We start from the raw sequence: 18,406 nt of genomic DNA on the forward strand, positions 1-18,406 counted from the left end.
AACTACAAACCACCACTCAAGGAAATAAGAGACACAAACAAATGGAAAAACATTCCATGCTCATAGTTAGGAAGAATCAATATCTTGAAAATGGCCATACTGCCCAAAGTAATTTGTAGGTTCAGTGCTATACCCATCAAACTATCATTGACTTTCTTCACAGAATTAGAAAAAACTACTTTAAATTTCATATGGAACCAAAAAAAGAGCCCATATAGCCAAGACAATCCTAAGCAAAAAGAACAAATTTTGAGGCATCATGCTACCTGACTTCAAAATATACTACAAGGCTACAGTAATGAAAACAGCATGGTACTGGTACCAAAAGAGATATATAGACCAATGAAACAGAACAGAGGCCTCAGAAATAATGCCATACATCTACACCATCTGATCTTTGACAAACCTGACAAAAGGAATGGGGAAAGGATTCCCTATTTAATAAATGGTGTTGGGAAAACTGGCTAGCCTTATGCAGGAAACTGAAACTGGACCCCTTCCTTACACTTTATACAAAAATTAACTCGATTCATTAAAGACTTAAAAGTAAGTTCTCAATGTATAAAAACCCTGGATGAAAACCTAGGCAGTACCATTCAGGACATAGGCATGGGCAAATACTTCATGACTAAAACACCAAAAGCAATGTCAACAAAAGCCAAAATTGACAAATGGGATCTAACTAAACTAAAGAACTTGTGTGCAGTTTTATTTGGGAGTGTGTGTGGGGTACCTCTGAGTTTCAAAAATGAAGAAAGTAAGTAGTCATGCTTTCCTGACTCTTTGGTAGACATAGCCTTTAAGACAGTCATTCTGAGCTGTTATGGTCTTAGGGTTCCCTATACTACTAAAACTTATTGATGACATGTAACCAAGAACTTGAATTAAATTTTTTTTTAAAAAAAGAAAAAGAAATCACCCAAATGCACATTAAAAACCTCTTACAACATATGTGCATATTCCTAGATAACATGTAGAACTTGATTTTGTGTATTAAAACCTTGTAGAAAAGTTCAGACAGTGCACAAAATGACTGCAACTTGGTCTTTGTAAAATCAGTGATATATATTTCAGATCTATCCATGTTGACCCAGTGAGGTATTTGATTTATTGTATGATCTAATGATATGCCATGTGATGACTGCAGCATATTTAATTATGCTCTCTTCGTGTTGATACCATATGGACATAAATATGGTGACATACCAGCATGGATATGCTTATGTGGTTGCTTTTATTGATTTGTACTATATTAGAAATGAAACAGAAGTATGGGAAATCCTAGCAAGCATAGCTGTATCTCTCCCATGGCTGTGTTGATTGCAACTGTTTCCCCCTTAAAGCATGTATTTTTGACATGTCATGACCCTGAGAAAATCCAGTGTGTGCTTTTCAGAGAATGACAGTAAGGAGAGGAAATGGCCGATGGTCAAAGTGTTACTTGTCCTCTTGGCTCCCCCTCATGAATGTTAAACTCTAATCTACTCAGGTCACAATTTAGAACCCCTTTGTTGATCCCTATAGAGTGTTCCTGGATGTCAAATGACAAATAGGCCCTTGAAGAAAAAACACCCTGTAAAGCTGTATTGCTCTGGTTTTTGTGTGTGAATGTGTGTGTGTGTTTGTGTGTGTGTGTATTTTTTTCTCTTCTGAAAACTGTAAATAGAATAATTTTCATTACAAATGAAAATATTTCTGTTCCATATTTATTTCCTGTCTCATGGCACTCTGCTCTTCTTGGATCTAGTAAGGATCTCAGCGTGTCTTATTTGTACCTGCAAAAAATTACACCATTCTTCATTTTTCATGTCAATTACTGACATGTTTTCAAGTCTTCACAAGTTATTTCTGAAGATGTTGGTGCATTGAGGAGAGGCAGTGTCATTGGAGTTAAAGAAGTTTTTAAATAGGTTATGTTCAATAACATTTCAGAACCCATTTCTCTGGAAGGCATAGACATAGTGGTTTTATGTGTAGTTAAACATAAAATAGCTCCACAAAGTCTTACGTATGTGAAAGTGTTCATATCCTGGAAGATTCTAATTTACTACTCAGTGCTGTCTGCTGGAGAGGAAAATAGGTAAGATAGGCTGCTGAGCCTATGATAATAACTCATAATATGATGGGAAAGCATAGAGACAAAATAAGAGACGATAGATACTCAAACCAATGTGAGTGAAGAACAGCTGTGAAAGAGTGTCTATGGGAGAGAGGAAGCCATGGGGCTGCTTTTGTGAAGAAGGAATTTGTACACGTTAGTCAAGTGTCTGATACATTTAACATTTTAATAAAGCAAAACCTTATCTTCACATGTGTCAGAATGGGATTGTACGAATGTCACATACAGTAGTGGTGAGAATAATGAAGAAATGAATGTGGAGGGCAAAGAATGAAGTCCACCAATATGGTTATTAGATTTATGAATGAAAAAGAGTGTATGTCAAATTAGGCAAACAAAGAAAGCAGCTAGTTAGGTAATTTGCAGGTTTCTGATGAGGAGACTTGTGGGGAGTCACTTAATGGAAAGTGGAAGTTAGAAGGATGAGGGTGACCCACAGGGCTTCATTTCTCCTCCCTAGAAGTTTTGCACATCAATGATATGTTCTTCGTTCACATCAGTTAGCATATTGGGATGCAGCTTAATCTAGAAAAAGTGTTTTTTTTTTCTTTAGGAAAGCTGTGTTGGCTGAGGTAGTTATTTCATAAAAGGACCTGAGAGACCCCTATGGTATATTATATCAAACTAGCTTTAGAAACAAAGTAATAAAATAATGTATATCTTGAGTACTAAAAAAAACTACCAATATTCTTGGCAATCATGACATATATATATATATTTACATATATATATATTTGGTTGGTTATTAATAAGAAAAGAAGTCTCTTGTGATTTAGAGATTTTGTTTACCTTATTTACATGGGAATCTGATTATGCATGATTTCTTTGACATGTATGTTTTTGCAAAAGTGGAAAAAGAGATGGCAAAAGAGCTGAACTGCTGAATCCGGGAAATGTAGGAATATTAGGAGCCTTCATGAGTACAAAGAAAATGATTTTTTAAATTATGACTCTAAGTATAACTGAACTCACTTCAGATGCATTTAGAATATTTGCATAAAAGATGATTTGATTTTGGCTGCTCCAGAAACTACTGGCAGAAGGAAAGAGTACTAGAATTCAGATAAACCACAGTGACTCGTTACTTCTCTTTGTTACTATTGGGAATCAGAGACATAGATTTTGTTGATATTAGTTATTCAAATGAAATAAACATGAATGTGCATACATTGGCTTTGTTTTTCAAGGAGCTAACTTTTGGATGCAATAGCAATTTAATGAAAATTCTTCAGAGAATAACATGATACTTCAAACCAGACTATTTTAGAAACAAAAATAATGTTGAATTCATTAATTGATTAATAAAATGGTTATTTTCAATGAATATTGGAGTCATTTCCAAATGTGCAAGCTTATTAATATCTAATGCTTGTAGCAGTTTTATTTTGTAGAAGTATGTCAATATTGACAAATGATGATACTTTTTATTGAGGTTTATATATTATACCTTATTGCCGTGAGTGGATGAAAAAACTTTCAGAAGGCTGAACTAGAGAACACAAGAAACTTGGGCAATTATTACACCACATGGTTCTGAGAAATAATGAATACTGTCTACTAGGATTCACCAAACATATATCCAAGCTGATCAATTTAGGACACTTCCACTGAGGAGATGTGAAGTGTACATTCAGCTGAAGTGTCATCGTAATTGTGTACCTTCTCAGTTATCGGGCAAGTTAAAGAGCATGATGAATGGTTGTAGTATAATGGTGTATTTCCTTCTCATCTCTTGCACTAAAGACATGTGACAGCATGTACCACCTGCTTTGACATTGATTCCCAGGTGCATGAGTTGCTTCTCTGTTTTTAGACCACATTTGTTTTTATCCCTCCATATATCCACAATGATACTGACACTGTTTCATTTTAGTTTTAGACATATGAAAAATCATATCACATTTGAAATTGTAAGTGTATTTTTCATGAAGCCTGTGTTGGTGTTTTCTTCAGTGTATTTCTGTCATGTTCCAGTCCCAAGACACAAAGTATAAAACATAAAAACCTAAACTAATAGGGGCAGGAGGATACAGCTTGATGGTAACAGTGCATGAATGTATGGATAATTTTATCATATTTACATATGATTGATTATGTATCCCTTTTGCTTTTCAGTGTCTTCTCAGAAACAACCAGCCTTGAAGGTAATTACACATTCATTTCTGTTTTGAACTATTAACTATATAGTCTGTGAAATATACTTTATGTATTGATTATTTTGTTTCAAATCCCACTCAGGCTACAAGTGGCAAGGAAGATTCTATTTCAAATATAGCCACAGAAATAAAGGATGGACAAAAATCTGGGACAGGTATTTTGGAATACACATTTAATGTCATGTTCACTCAGGATAGAAGAGAACTTCTGTTCACTGAATAAATCGCAGGGAGCTCATTGAATCTGCACATTCTGATTCAGCAGGCCTGAGATTCTGCTTTTGTGATAAGTTCTCGGGTGACGCCGATGCTACTGGTCCTTGGCCATGATCTCAGTATTAAGATTATGTTCTTCCCCACAGTGAAATTGGCAAGAATGATTGGAGAGCAGTGCAAGATATAACAGGCAAAGGGACAGCATATTCTTACTTTAATTCTACAGCATAGTTCCATCATAAAGGGAAGGAGAAAGAGATTAAGTAATAAAAATTATAGGTGTCAGATCAGATTGTTAAAACCACATGGAAGAAGTGATTGGAATAAACCATAAACAATGTAGAAAGAGAACTAAGGAGACCTCTGATGTGGTAATTATTTTACTCAAGGAAGAGGGATTGAGGCAAGAAGGAGGGAAAAGAAGATGTTATTTATGTAATTTTGGGGTTTCTGCTGCAGAAACCTGATGGGACTCACTTCAGATGCATTTGGAATATTTGCATAGAAGAAGATTAGATTTTGGCTGCTCCAGGAACTACTGGAAGCAGGATAGATTGCTAGAATTGTGATAACCCACAGTGACTCATTACCCCTCTTTGTTACTATTGGGCATCAGAGATATATGTTTTGTTGGTATTAGCTATTCAAATAGGCTAATCATGAATATGCATATATTTGCTTTGTTTTTAAAGGAACTAACTTTTGGATAAAATAGCAATTTAATGAAAATAGTTTAGAGAATAACATGATCCTTCAAACCAGACTATTTTAGAAACAAAAATAATGTTGAATTCATTAATTGACTCCTAAAGTGGTTATTTTCAATGAATATCAGAGCAATTTCCAAATGGAAAAGCTTATTCATATCTAATGATTTCAGTAACTTTATTTTGTATAAGTATGCCAAATTTGATGGTTTATTATACTTTTTGATGAGGTTTGTATATTATACTTTCTTGCCATGAGTGGGTGAAGAAACTTTCTGAAGGCTAAACTAGAGGATCCAAGAAATGTAGGCACATTATGACACCACAGGGGTGTGAGAAATAAGGAATATTATATGCTAGGATTCACCAAACATATATTTAAGCTGATCAATTCGGAACACTTCCACAGAGCACTTGGGAAGTGTACATTCAACTAAAGTGCCATTGTCCTTGTGTACCTGCTCAATTGTCAGGCAAGTTTAAGAGCATGATAAATATTTGTAGTATAATGGTATAAATCCCTCTGATGTGTTACATGAAAAACATGCAGGAGCATTAATCACCTGCTTCGACATTGATTCCCAAGTGTATGAGTCACTGCTCTGATTTTAGATCACATTTGTCCTCATCACTCGGCATATCCACATTGATATAGACACTGTTTTATTGTAGTAATAGACATGTGAAGAATAATATCACATATGAAATTGGAAGTGTTTGTTGCGTGAAGACTATACTTCTGTTTTCTACAGTGTAATTCTGTCATGTTCCTGTCCCAATACACAAAGTAGAAAACATCAAAGCCTATGCTAATTCAGGCAGGAGGATACAGCTTGATGGTAACACTGCATGAAAGTATGGATAACTTTATCATATTTACATATGAGTGATTATGTATCCCTTTTGGTTTTCAGTGTCTTCTCAGAAACAACCGGCCTTGAAGGTATTATACTCTCATTCATATTTTGAATAATTAACTGTATAGTCTATGGAATATACTGTAGGTATTGATTATTTTGTTTGAAATCCCACTCAGGATACAAGTGACAAGGATGATTCTGTTTCGAACACAGCCACAGAAATAAAAGATGAACAAAAATCTGGGACAGGTAATTTTGCAATACACATTTAATGCCATGTACAGTCAAGATAGAGAACTTCCCTTCCCCAAATAAATCAGCAGGGGGCTCATTGAAGCTGCGCATTCTGATTCAGCGGGCCTGAGATTCTGCATTTGTAATAAGTTCTGGAGTGATGGTGATTCTGCTGATTTTTGGCCATGATCTGAGTAGTAAGATTTTAGACTTCCCTACATTGAAATTGGGAAGAAGAACAATTGGAGAGCAGTTCAAGATACAAGAGTCTGAGGGGACAGCATAATTTTGCTTTAATTCTACAGCATGTCTCCATGAAGAGGGGAAGGAGAACAAGATGAAGTACTAGAAATTATAGGCGCCTGATCACATTGCTAAAACCAGAGGGAAGAAATGATCGTAATAAGCCATAAACACTATAGAATGAGAAGTAACAAGACCACTGATGTAGTAATTATTTTCCTCAGGGAAGAGGGATTGTGAGTCAGGAAGAAGGGAAAAGAAGTTATTTGTTTAATTTTAGGGTTTCTGCTGAGGAAACCTGAGGGAACTCACTTCAGATGTGTTTAGAATGTTTGCATAAAGGAAAATTTGATTTTGGCTGCTCCAGGAACTACTGGAAGCAGGATAGAGTGCTAGAATTGTGATGAACCACAGTCACCTGTTTCCCCTCTTTGTTATTATTGGGCATCAGAGATATATGTTTTGTTGTTATCAGTGAGTCAAATGAGATAAATGTAAATATGCATACATTGGCTTTGTTGTTCAGAGAGCTAACTTTTGGACAAAATAGCAATTTAATGAAAACAGTTTAGTGAATAACATGATCCTTCAAACCAGACTATTTTAGAACCAAAAATAATATTAAATTCTTTAATTGACACCTAAAATATTTATTTTTAATTAATATTGGAGTGATTTCCAAATGGAAAACCTTATTCAGATCTAATGCTTGTAGCAACTTTATTTTGTGTAAGTATATCAAATTTGATAATTTTTTATACATTTTGATTAGGTTTGTATATAATACCTTGTTCCCATTGGTGACTGACAAAAGTTTCTGAAGGTTAAACCAGAAAATACAAAAGTGTAGGCTCATTATTATACCACATGGGTATGAAAAATAATGAATAGCATATAATAGGATTCACCAAACATATATCCAAGCTGACCAATTCAGAACACTTCCACTGAGGAGCTTTGAAGTGCACGTTCATCTAAAGTGTAATTGTCATTGTGTACCTGCTGGATTGTCCGGCAAGTCAAAGAGCATGATGAATATTTGTAGTATAATTGTTTAAATCCTTCTGATGTCTTGTATGAAAGATATGCGTGAACCTGGCTCACTTCAACTTTAACCTTCTGGGTTCAAGTGATTCTCCTGTCTCAGTCTCCTGAGTAGCTGAATTTACAGATGTGCACCACCAACCTGGTAATTTTTGTGTTTTTACTAGAGTCCGGCTTTTGCCATGTTGGCCAGGTTGGTCTTGAACTCCTGACCTCAAGTTATCCACCCACCTCAGCCTCACAAAGTGCTGGGATTACAGGTGTGACCCACCGAGCCCTGCCTACATGATTTTTTTTTTTTTAACTTTTTAAAAATAAAGATAGCGTGTTTCTGTGCTGCCCAAGCTGGTCTGAAATGCCTGGGCTTCTCAAGTGATATTTCTGCCTCAGCCTTTTGAGTAGCTGAGATTATAGGAACAAGTCACTGTGCTCTTTTATGTTTTTAATATTTTATAGGTTCCTATTGTTGATTTAAAATGCATTTTACTTTTTGTTTAATAGTGCTTCCTGCTGTTGAACAGTGTTTAAACAGGTATGATTTTACAGATTTTTTAAAGTGATATGTTAACTTAGTTAATAGAGAGAATAGAAACTAGTATCCATTTAGTGTTCTCCTCTGTGCTAGACACCATATTACATGCTTAATATTTATCATGTCATGTCATCTCCACACAGCTTTACAAATTATTTGTGCTGTTATTGCTTTTTTACTAATTAGGCAACTCTGCTTTAAAGAGGTTGAAATATTGGCTCATGATTCCACAGTTAACAGGTAGCCAACCGATGATTTGACCATCATCCTGCCTGGCTCTCTAATCACTTCATTTGCCCCTAAGCATAGATGGATACAGACCTATGCAGCAATGCGATCACGGTACTGGTGTAACTCAGATCAATTCAGAAAGTCACATTTTGTTATATATTAACTCTCTTTAGAGTATTTCTTAGAAGCCTAGATACTCCAAAACTTTGTCCAAATATTTTGGAAATGGCAGTGGTAACCATATTACTTTTTTTTAAACCATCAAAATTTTAAAGGCAGATATCAGTTACCTGTGGCCACAAGACCGTAAGTTTTTTGTAAGCAAGACTAGGCCAGTCCTAGAAAAATATTATTTTACTGTGCATGGAGAATACCTAAATATAGACCATGTTATGACAACTATATTTAGCATATATTAAAATGATATTTCTAATTCATGTCTCTACTTACTCCCTACCCAGTTAGGTTTTCTCTTTAAGTGAGCACCCTGCCTAGTTTGCTGAAGCTTTTTCTTATTTTGTGGATTCTTCTTTTTTCCTTCTATGACATTTTAGTATTTTCTTGATTTCTTTTCACTTTCTCTACCACTTTTCTTAGGGTTTAAGATCTTCTTTTATAGTTTTCATGTATGGCAGCTAAATATTCCCCATTTTCCTATAGACACAATCAGAGGTGCATAAAATTTCAGAATGTTAAGAAATCCTAGAGACTAAACAAAGTATCCTCTAGTGCTTGAATCCTTGCTTAACATCCTGATCAAGTGGTTGTTCAGGTGGAGAACCTGAAACTCAAAGAGAGAAAATTATTTGGATACAGTAAATCAGAGAAATGAGAATTGCACTCAGGTTTCTTAGTTCAAAACGCAGTCTTCTTTTACATCATTCTGTCATTGAGTGATTTTAGTTTTAGAAAGAGGGAGTGGCTCTAGTGAACACAGTGGAAGAGGATGAGAATTGAATGAGCTGTTGAACCTAATGAAAGTGAATAAGAATGGAATTTGCAGGGGGCAGCCAAATTTGAAGAGAAACAAACTCTTAGTTTGATAGAAATGAGGATTTTAGGGAAAAATCTGAATATTTGGTTTAATGCAAGTTTGATAAAGATAAGGGAAATGATAACACAGGATGTTGGGAGCTATCAAGAAAGGCATATTAGAATATGGCGTTCAAGGAGTTCTGAAGAGTTTGCTGCCTTTTTGTTTGTTTAACTGGAGGAACTAACAAACTTCAAGGTTTTATTGAAAAATGTTAAAAGAATTTGAGCCACTGGAAAGAGTCTCCAGAGGAGATAGGAATGTGGTATCATCTTCTTCCATCCCAGCTTACAGAGGGCTTAGAATCCCTCAAGAACCAGGGAGCTGGAGATTGCTTAAGTACATAGATCTGTGATCCAGGGTGGATGTCTCTTTTTTTCTGACTCTTTTCTCAATTCTCTCATGTACATGTAGGGTGGGACAAATGTAGGATTGGCCGGCAAACCAGCAATGAAGCTTCATTTGGGTAGTTGGTAACATGCGTATGCTTGGGGTGGATGACTGAGACTAACTTACTTTCCAGAAGCAGAGGAATAGAGAGCTCCTACTCTCAATTATGTTAGCCCATCTTTTGAGAAATCTGGGCTTTCCTAGGCTGAAGATGTAGATTGGAGATTGCCACAGATCCCTGCAGAAGAGGGATCCAGAAGTGGGAGCCCATAGGAAGGAAGATATTTAGATAGGGATGAATGAAATGGAGCTATAAGTACTTAGGAGGGAGACTTTTCCAGCAGTCTCTCTCTTGGGTATCTGAGTGTCTATGAAGGTTCTTAAGCTTGCTGGTTTTTGTGGATCTGAATAAGGCAGAATCTATATAATGACGATAATTGGATTTTAAAATTTTTAATGTTTTAATCTTCTGTGAAGAATATTCCCAATAACAATCTAACAACATATACATTTGTACTTTGACTTTTGTACACTCAGCTTTCAAACATTTGCAGTGTTTCAGGGGGCTCCCTGTAGTGTTCTAGGGTGAAAAGAATCAATGGGCCCTCTTTAAGTAGCTTACATGCTGAAGATCCAAGACTCCCATTTTCCAGTGACACAGATTAGTCTTTGAATCAGAAATAGATAATGGAGAAGAGACCGTGCCTTTTCTACCTTGTTTTAGGTTATCAGGTTTACTGCAGTTCAGTAACAAAAGTTGTGTCAGATATCAACTGGATTTTCAGTTTAGTCTTTAGGGTAGATAATTTATAAGGACAAATTATTGTCTGGCTGTGCCATTATAATGCCTGTCACTATTTGTTATGGGTTTAAGGGTGAGTCTGCATTGGATATTTCATAGGTTGGGAGAAGTGGCAGCAGAAATAGGTAACTGAAATGTTTTCTAAAATGGAAGCCATATCTTAATTATACCAAGAAATATTATTTAACATGCAGATAACTGAGTTTCCTCAGACTTTGTTTTACCATTTTTTTGGAGTGGACATACGTGTATAGACTGACGGTTTTTGTTTTCTTTTAAGAAATGAATGAGCTCATTTTTGTAATATCTTTTTGCTCTGTAGGAGTCTCTACAGACCTGATGCTGTTGCACAGCCTGTGACAGAGAATGAGTTTTCTTTGGAATCTGAGGTAGAGTACTCTCTTGTGAAATTAATTTTCTCCCTCTGAATCTCATTTTTTATATTATTTTCTTCTAAAACTTAGCAGTTGTCTACCTATCATTGTTTTATGTTACTATTAAAACTTTTATTAGAGATAACCATTTTAAAGAAATGGGAGGGGTTAATTTTAATTTTTTTTACTTTGGCAAATAAGAAATAGTTGATAAATACTTTGAGAGGTGTGATCTGAAAAAAAATTGCTGGAAAATACACAGTGACAGAAAAATGATGTTCGGGAATGCTTTCCCACAGTAGAGGATATACAAATTTTGGTCTAGGCTTATTTGAGTGTTTTTACTTTGAGTTGTATATCATATGAGTATGACTAATAATACCTCTGTTTAAATGAATCTTTAATACATCAGATGACTTATCAAAGAAATCATGGAATCACTCTGTTACACATAGCATATAGTTTCTTTTTATTTCTTGTGCACATATTTTGATATCATACTGTATTTTTGCAGAGCTATTTCTTTATTTTTATTCCTGGCTCTGTAATTAGACTAAAATAATATTAGAAATTGTGGAAATTTAACTAGACATGGTATCATGTGCCTGTAGTCCCACCTATTCAAGAGATCAAGTCAGGAGAATTTCTTGAGCCCAGGATTTTAAGACCAAGCTTGACAATATAACAAGTGCTTATCTCTAATTTTAAAAAGTTGTGGAATATTAGAAATTCAAATTCTGTTCTCAAATCTGTATTAGAGAGGGTTTACACTGTGTTTTCCAAGCCTTTTTTATTTAGAGTATACTTTAAACTCTTTATTTAATTGAAAAATATGCATTTTGTTTAAATAACCTGTTTGATAAACAGAGACTCTTCATATTTTATGGTCAGACTTTAATTTCACAATGTTTTTGAATTGTAATTAAAAAGAATCCACTCAGGGTCTTTGTATGGCATTCTAAATTTCAAATTTCAGAGGCTTTTGTGCTTAGTTATTGAAAAAATAATTGTAAAGCTCCTGCATTACTATGAGGCACTTGAAACTAGAAAACCTATTTGTATGTGTCCTGGAATACACAGAATAAGGTCTTGCATGTAAGAAACACTTTAATAGTTTTTAATGTGAATCAACAAACAGGTAAATGGGCTTTCTCATGATGGAATGTTACAGGTAACCTAATATGCATGACATATCTAATAATTAAATCTATTAAATGTCTTGAATGTTTTGAATTTATCTTTTTTTCTAATGTTGAGAATGTATAAGTTGAGGTGAGTTATGTTGAGAAAATATGTCATATAGAAGAAAATAAAATTTAGAAAAGATGAAAAGGAAATAGGAGAGGTGGATACAGCCTAATATCTTCCAACTGGAAGCTTAGATTAGGATTTTAGATTAAATTTTCTTAAATTTTTAAAGCCCCAATCATGTTCTATTAAATACCTTTTTTTTGGGACATACATTACTCTTTCAAATTCTGAATAAAAATTCTTTCTCCAGGTGTTAAGTTGCTGGAATTTTATTGTTTTTTTTTTTTTCTTTCCCCCTCTCTCTCTCTGTAGTAAGAATGTGTCAGTTTTCAGATCAATCATCATGGTTAACTCTTGGGATGTGTTATTTTATAGTAAACAAATGAAACTCTTTATTACATAAGTATTTACACAAAACAAATTGTCGAGTAAATGCTAACCAGTATTATTAGGCATATATTATGAACACAAGCTTTTCTTTTAAGCGCATATTTGATTGACTGGTCATGTCTCTTTTTTTGTTTGTTGCTCCCTCCTTTCCCTTTGTTTAAAAATGATTTACCTCAGTCTAACTTTCTCCTTGCAGACCACATGTCTTTAGTGTCTATTCTTTCATTTCACTTCTGTTTCTATTGTCAGGATACTTAGTTACAGCTTTCTATTTAGTAGCTATGTGTGGCCTTCATTCGTGAATCATTGCTCCATAAGGTGGATGATTGCTTTTTTCTGTCTTTTTTGGAAGGAGCTGAAGTTGTACTATAATTTGTTTTTAGCTTTTGACACGCTGAATAGAAGCAACTTGTGCTGTTTCTGATGCCAACCCATTTAAAGATAGTACTACTAAAAACTACATTCTCACATTTTTTCCCACAGAAAGTAATTCGCACAAACATACATCATGCATACCTATTTTGAAAAATAATGTGATTAATTTACTTTTTTTATTATTAGTTTTATTCAGCAATACTCTAAATTACATATGAGTACATTTTTGTCCTAGTTTGTTGTGGTTAATAAAAGAAACTAATGGATATCATAGTATTTGTATAATAATCAACATGGGTTGAAAGGAGTAACATTTTGAAGATATCTGTATCACCAATCATAACCATCACCCCATGTGAATCTGTAGATTAGTAAATGGCAGACTTGAGGTTTGAATCTACATATGAGTGATTTCAACGTCCATACTTTTCCTGTTAGATCATGTAGTAATGGTGGGTATTATCCTATTTTAACTTGCTCCATGTTATTCTTAAACCTATTGTGTTTTTCTTCTAGATTATTTCAAAACTATACATCCCAAAGAGAAAGATTATTTCTCCACGATCTATAAAAGATGGTAAGTTATTTGAAGGCTGCCTATTGTAGTATTTACTGATTCTTCATTTGTTTTTTTTTTTTCTTTGTGAAACACAGTCTTACTAGTCTGCAGCACAGGCTGGAGTGCAGTGGTGCGATCTTGGCTCACTGCAGTTTCCATCTCCTGGGTTCAAGTGATTCTCCTGCCTTAGCCTCCCGAGTAGCTGGGATTACAGGCGTGCACCACCACACCTGGCTAATTTTTGTATTTTTAGTGGATTTGGAGTTTCACCATGTTGTCCAGGCTGGTCTCAAACTTTTGACCTCAAGTGATTCCCCTGCCTAGGCCTCCCAAGCTGCTAGGATTACAGGCATGACCCACCACACCAGGCCTTGTTGATTATTATTATTATGTTTATAAGGATAGAGTCTTGCTATGTTACCCAGGCTGGTCTCAAACTCCTTGGCTTCTCAAGTGATACTTCTGCCTCAGCCTTCTGAGTAGCTGGGATTATAGGAACAAGCCACTGTGCTCTTTTATGTTTTTAGTATTCTATAGTGTTCTATTGTTGATTTAAAATGCATTTTACTTTTTCTTTAATAGTGCTTCCTCCTGTTGAAGAGGCTGTTGACAGGTATGATTTCAGAGATTTTTTAAAGTGATATGTTAACTAAGTGAATAGAGAGAAGAGAAACTAGTATTTGTTTAGTATTCTACTCTGTGCTGGACACCATATTACATGCTTAACATTTATCATGTCACACAACTTTAGAAACTATTTGTGCTGTTATTGCTTTTTTACTAATTAGGCAACTCTGCTTTAAAGAGGTTGAAATATTGGCTCATGATTCCACAGTTAACAGGTAGCCAACCCAACATTAGACCATCATGCTGCCTGGCTCTCAAATCACTTCATTTGCCCCTAAGCATAGATGGATAGAGGCCTATGCAGCAATGGGGCCATGGTACTTATTTACATCAGATCAATTCAGAAAGTCACATTTTGTTATATATTAACTGTCTTTAGAGTGTTATTTAGAAGCCTGGCTACTCCAAAAGTTTTTCCAAATATTTTGAAATGGCAGTGGTAACCATATTACTTTTTTTTTTAACCATCAAATTTTAAAGGCAGTTATCAGTTATCTGTGGCCACAGGACCCTAAGTTTTTCATAAGCAAGACCAGGCCAGTCCTAGAAAAATATTATCTTACTGTGCTTGGAGAATATCTAAATATAGTCCATGTTATGTTAACTATATTTAGCATATATTAAAAGGATATTTCTAATTCATTTCTCCACTTACTCCCTACCCAGTTAGGTTTTCTCTTTAAGTGAGTACCCTGCCTAGTTTGCTGAAGCTTTTTCTTATTTTCTGGATTCTTTTTTTTCCTTCTGTGACATTTTAATAATATTTTCTTGATTTCTTTTTACTTTCTTTTCTGCTTTTCTAAGGGTTTATGATCTTCTATTATAGTTTTCATTTAAGACAGCTAAGTAGTCCCCATTTTCCTATAGACAAAATCAGAGGTGCATAGAATTTCAGAATGTTAAGAAATCCTAGAGACTAAACAAAATATCTTCTATACTTGAATCCTTGCTCAACATCCTGATCAAGTGGTTGTTCAGGTGGAGAACCTGAAATTCAAAGAAAGAAAATTATTTGGATACAGTAAATCAGAGAAATGAGAATTGCACTCAGGTTTCTTAGTTCAAAACGCAGTCTTCTTTTACATCATTCTGTCATTGAGTGATTTTAGTTTTAGAAAGCAGGAGTGGCTCTAGTGAACACAGTGGAAGAGGATGAGAATTGAATGAGCTGTTGAACCCAATGAAAGTGGATAAGAATGGAATTTGCAGGGGACAGCCAAATTTGAAGATGTAGATTGGAGATTGCCATGGATCCCTGCTGAAGAGGGATCCAGAAGGGGGAGCCCATAGGAAGGAAGATATTTAGATAGTGATGAATGAAATGAAGCTCTAAGTACTCAGGAGGGAGACTTTTCCACTAGTCCCTCTCTTGGATATCTGAGTGTCTATGAAGGTTCTTAAGCTTGCTGGTTTTTGTGGACCTGAATAAGGCAGGATCTATATAATGACAATAATTGGATTTTATAATTTTTAATGTTTTAATCTTCTGTGAAGAATATTCCCAAAGTACATTTGTACTTTGACTTTTGTACACTCAGCTTTCAAACATTTGCAGTGTTTCAGGGGGTTCCCTGTAGTGTTCTAGGGTGAAGAGAATCAATGGGCCCTCTTTAAGTAGCTTACATGCTGAAGATCTAAGACTCCCATTTTCCAGTGACACAGATTAGTCTTTGAATCAGAAATAGATAATGGAGAAGAGACCGTGCCTTTTCTACCTTGTTTTAGGTTATCAGGTTTACTGCAGTTCAGTAACAAAAGTTGTGTCAGATATCAATTGGATTTTCAGTTTAGTCTTTAGGGTAGATAATTTATAAGGACAAATTATTGTCTGGCTGTGCCATTATAATGCCTGTCACTATTTGTTATGGGTTTAAGGGTGAGTCTGCATTGGATATTTCATAGGTTGGGAGAAGTGGCAGCAGAAATAGGTAACTGAAATGTTTTCTAAAATGGAAGCCATATCTTAATTATACCAAGAAATATTATTTAATATGCAGATAACTGAGTTTCCTCAGACTTTGTTTTACCATTTTTTTTGGAGGGGACCTGCATGTATAGACTGACGGTTTTTGTTTTCTTTTAAGAAATGAACGTGCTCATTTTTGTAATATCTTTTTGCTCTGTAGGTGTCTCTACCTACTGGACCGTTTTGCACAGCCTGTGACAAAGGATAAGTTTGCTTTGGAATCTGAGGTAGAGTACTCTCTTGTGAAATTAATTTTCTCATTCTGAATCTCATTTTTTGTATTATTTTCTTCTAGCAAATAATAGGTAGCAATTGTCTACCTATCATTGTTTTATGTTAGTATTAAAACTTTTATTAGAGATAACCATTTTAAAGAAATAGGGGGGGTTAATTTTAATTTTTTTTTACTTTGCAAATAAGAAATAGTTGATAAATACTTTGAGAGGTGTGATCTGAAAAAAAAATTGCTGGAAAATACATAGTGACAGGAAAATATGGTTTTGGAACACTTTCCCACAACAGAGGAGATACAAATTTTGGTCTAGGCTTATCTGAGTAAGTGTTTTTAATCTGAGTTGTATATCATATGAGTATGACTAATAATACCTCTGTTTAAATGAATCTTTGTTACATCAGATGACTTATTATGGGAATCATGGAATCACCCTGTTACACATAGCATATAGTTTCTTTTCATTTCTTGTACACCTATTTTAACATCATACAGTATTTTTGCAGAGAGCTACTTCTTTATTTTTATTCTTGGTTCTATATATTTAGGCTAAAATAATATTACAAATTGTGGAAATTTAACTAGACATGGTATCATGTGCCTGTAGTCCCACCTACTCAAGAGTTCAAGCCAGGAGAATTTCTTAATCCCAGGAGTTTAAGACCAAGCTTGGCAATACAGCAAGAGCTTATCTCTAATTTAAAAAATTGTGGAATATTAGAAATTTAAATTCTGTTCTCAGATCTACAGTAGAGAGGGTTTACAGTGTGTTTTCCAAGTCTTTTTTATTAAGAGTATACTTTAAACTCTTTATCTAATTGAAGAATATGCATTTTGTTTAAAATAACAACCTGTTTGATAAGCAGAGACTCTTCATATTTCTATGATCAGACTTTAATTTCTCATGGTTTCTGCGTTGTAATTAAAAAAAATCCACTCAGGGTCTTTGTATCTCATTCTAAATTTCAAATTTCAGAGGCTTTTGTGCTTAGTTATTGAAAAAATAATTGTAAAACTCCTGCATTACTATGAGCCACTTGAAGCTAGAAAACCTATTTGTATGTATCTTAAGCACCCAGAATAATGTCTTGCATGTAAGAAATATTTTATTAGTTTTTAATGTGAATCAACAAACAGGGAAATGGGCTTTTTTTTAATGGACTGTTACAGGTAACATAATATGCCTAAGATATCTAATAATTAAATCTATTAAATGTCTTGAATGTTCTGAATTTATCTTTTGTTCTAATGTTGAGAATCTATAAGTTGAGGTGAGTTATCCTGAGAAAATATGTTATAGAAGAAAATGAAAATTGGAAAAGATGGAAAGGAAATAGGAAAGGCGGATACAGCGTGTTTTCTAATATCTTCCAACTGGAAGCTTAGATTAGGATTTTAGATTAAATTTTCTTAAATTTTTAAAGCCCCAACCATGTTCTATTAAATACATATTTTTCAGGACATACATTACTCTTTTTTTTTTATTATTATACTTTAAGTTTTAGGGTACATGTGCACATTGTGCAGGTTAGTTACATATGTATACATGTGCCATGCTGGTGCGCTGCACCCACTAACTCGTCATCTAGCATCAGGTATATCTCCCAATGCTCTCCCTCCCCCCTACCCCCACCCCACAACAGTCCCCAGAGTGTGATATTCCCCTTCCTGTGTCCATGTGATCTCATTGTTCAATTCCCACCTATGAGTGAGAATATGCGGTGTTTGGTTTTTTGTTCTTGCGATAGTTTACTGAGAATGATGATTTCCAATTTCACCCATGTCCCTACAAAGGACATGAACTCATCATTTTTTATGGCTGCATAGTATTCCATGGTGTATATGTGCCACATTTTCTTAATCCAGTCTATCATTGTTGGACATTTGGGTTGGTTCCAAGTCTTTGCTATTGTGAATAGTGCCGCAATAAACATACGTGTGCATGTGTCTTTATAGCAGCATGATTTATAGTCCTTTGGGTATATACCCAGTAATGGGATGGCTGGGTCAAATGGTATTTCTAGTTCTAGATCCCTGAGGAATCGCCACACTGACTTCCACAATG

General features: G+C 34.8%; 1 protein-coding gene across 50 annotated transcripts in view; it reads left to right on the top strand.

Annotated features, from left to right (window-relative positions):
- Positions 1-18,406, top strand: part of ANKRD36 (ankyrin repeat domain 36) — a 151,369-nt gene that overhangs the window by 25,253 nt on the left and 107,710 nt on the right. For 47 of the 50 annotated variants that reach the window (XR_007074204.1, XM_017004009.2, NM_001354587.1 and 44 more), the window contains 9 exons: positions 4,235-4,263; positions 4,358-4,430; positions 6,113-6,141; positions 6,235-6,307; positions 8,081-8,111; positions 10,890-10,956; positions 13,474-13,534; positions 14,099-14,129; positions 16,270-16,336. Coding sequence is in view for 49 of the 50 variants with exons in the window: in XM_017004009.2 (XP_016859498.1) it covers positions 4,235-4,263; positions 4,358-4,430; positions 6,113-6,141; positions 6,235-6,307; positions 8,081-8,111; positions 10,890-10,956; positions 13,474-13,534; positions 14,099-14,129; positions 16,270-16,336 (461 nt within the window). In the remaining variant the exon portion in view is untranslated. The remainder of the gene's footprint in view (positions 1-4,234; positions 4,264-4,357; positions 4,431-6,112; positions 6,142-6,234; positions 6,308-8,080; positions 8,112-10,889; positions 10,957-13,473; positions 13,535-14,098; positions 14,130-16,269; positions 16,337-18,406) is intronic. The other 3 variants (XM_047444247.1, XM_047444245.1, XM_017004015.2) reach the window with 2 other exon arrangements.

The sequence above is a fragment of the Homo sapiens genome, chromosome 2, assembly GCF_000001405.40.
Source record: "Homo sapiens chromosome 2, GRCh38.p14 Primary Assembly".
Classification (NCBI taxonomy): domain Eukaryota; kingdom Metazoa; phylum Chordata; class Mammalia; order Primates; family Hominidae; genus Homo; species Homo sapiens.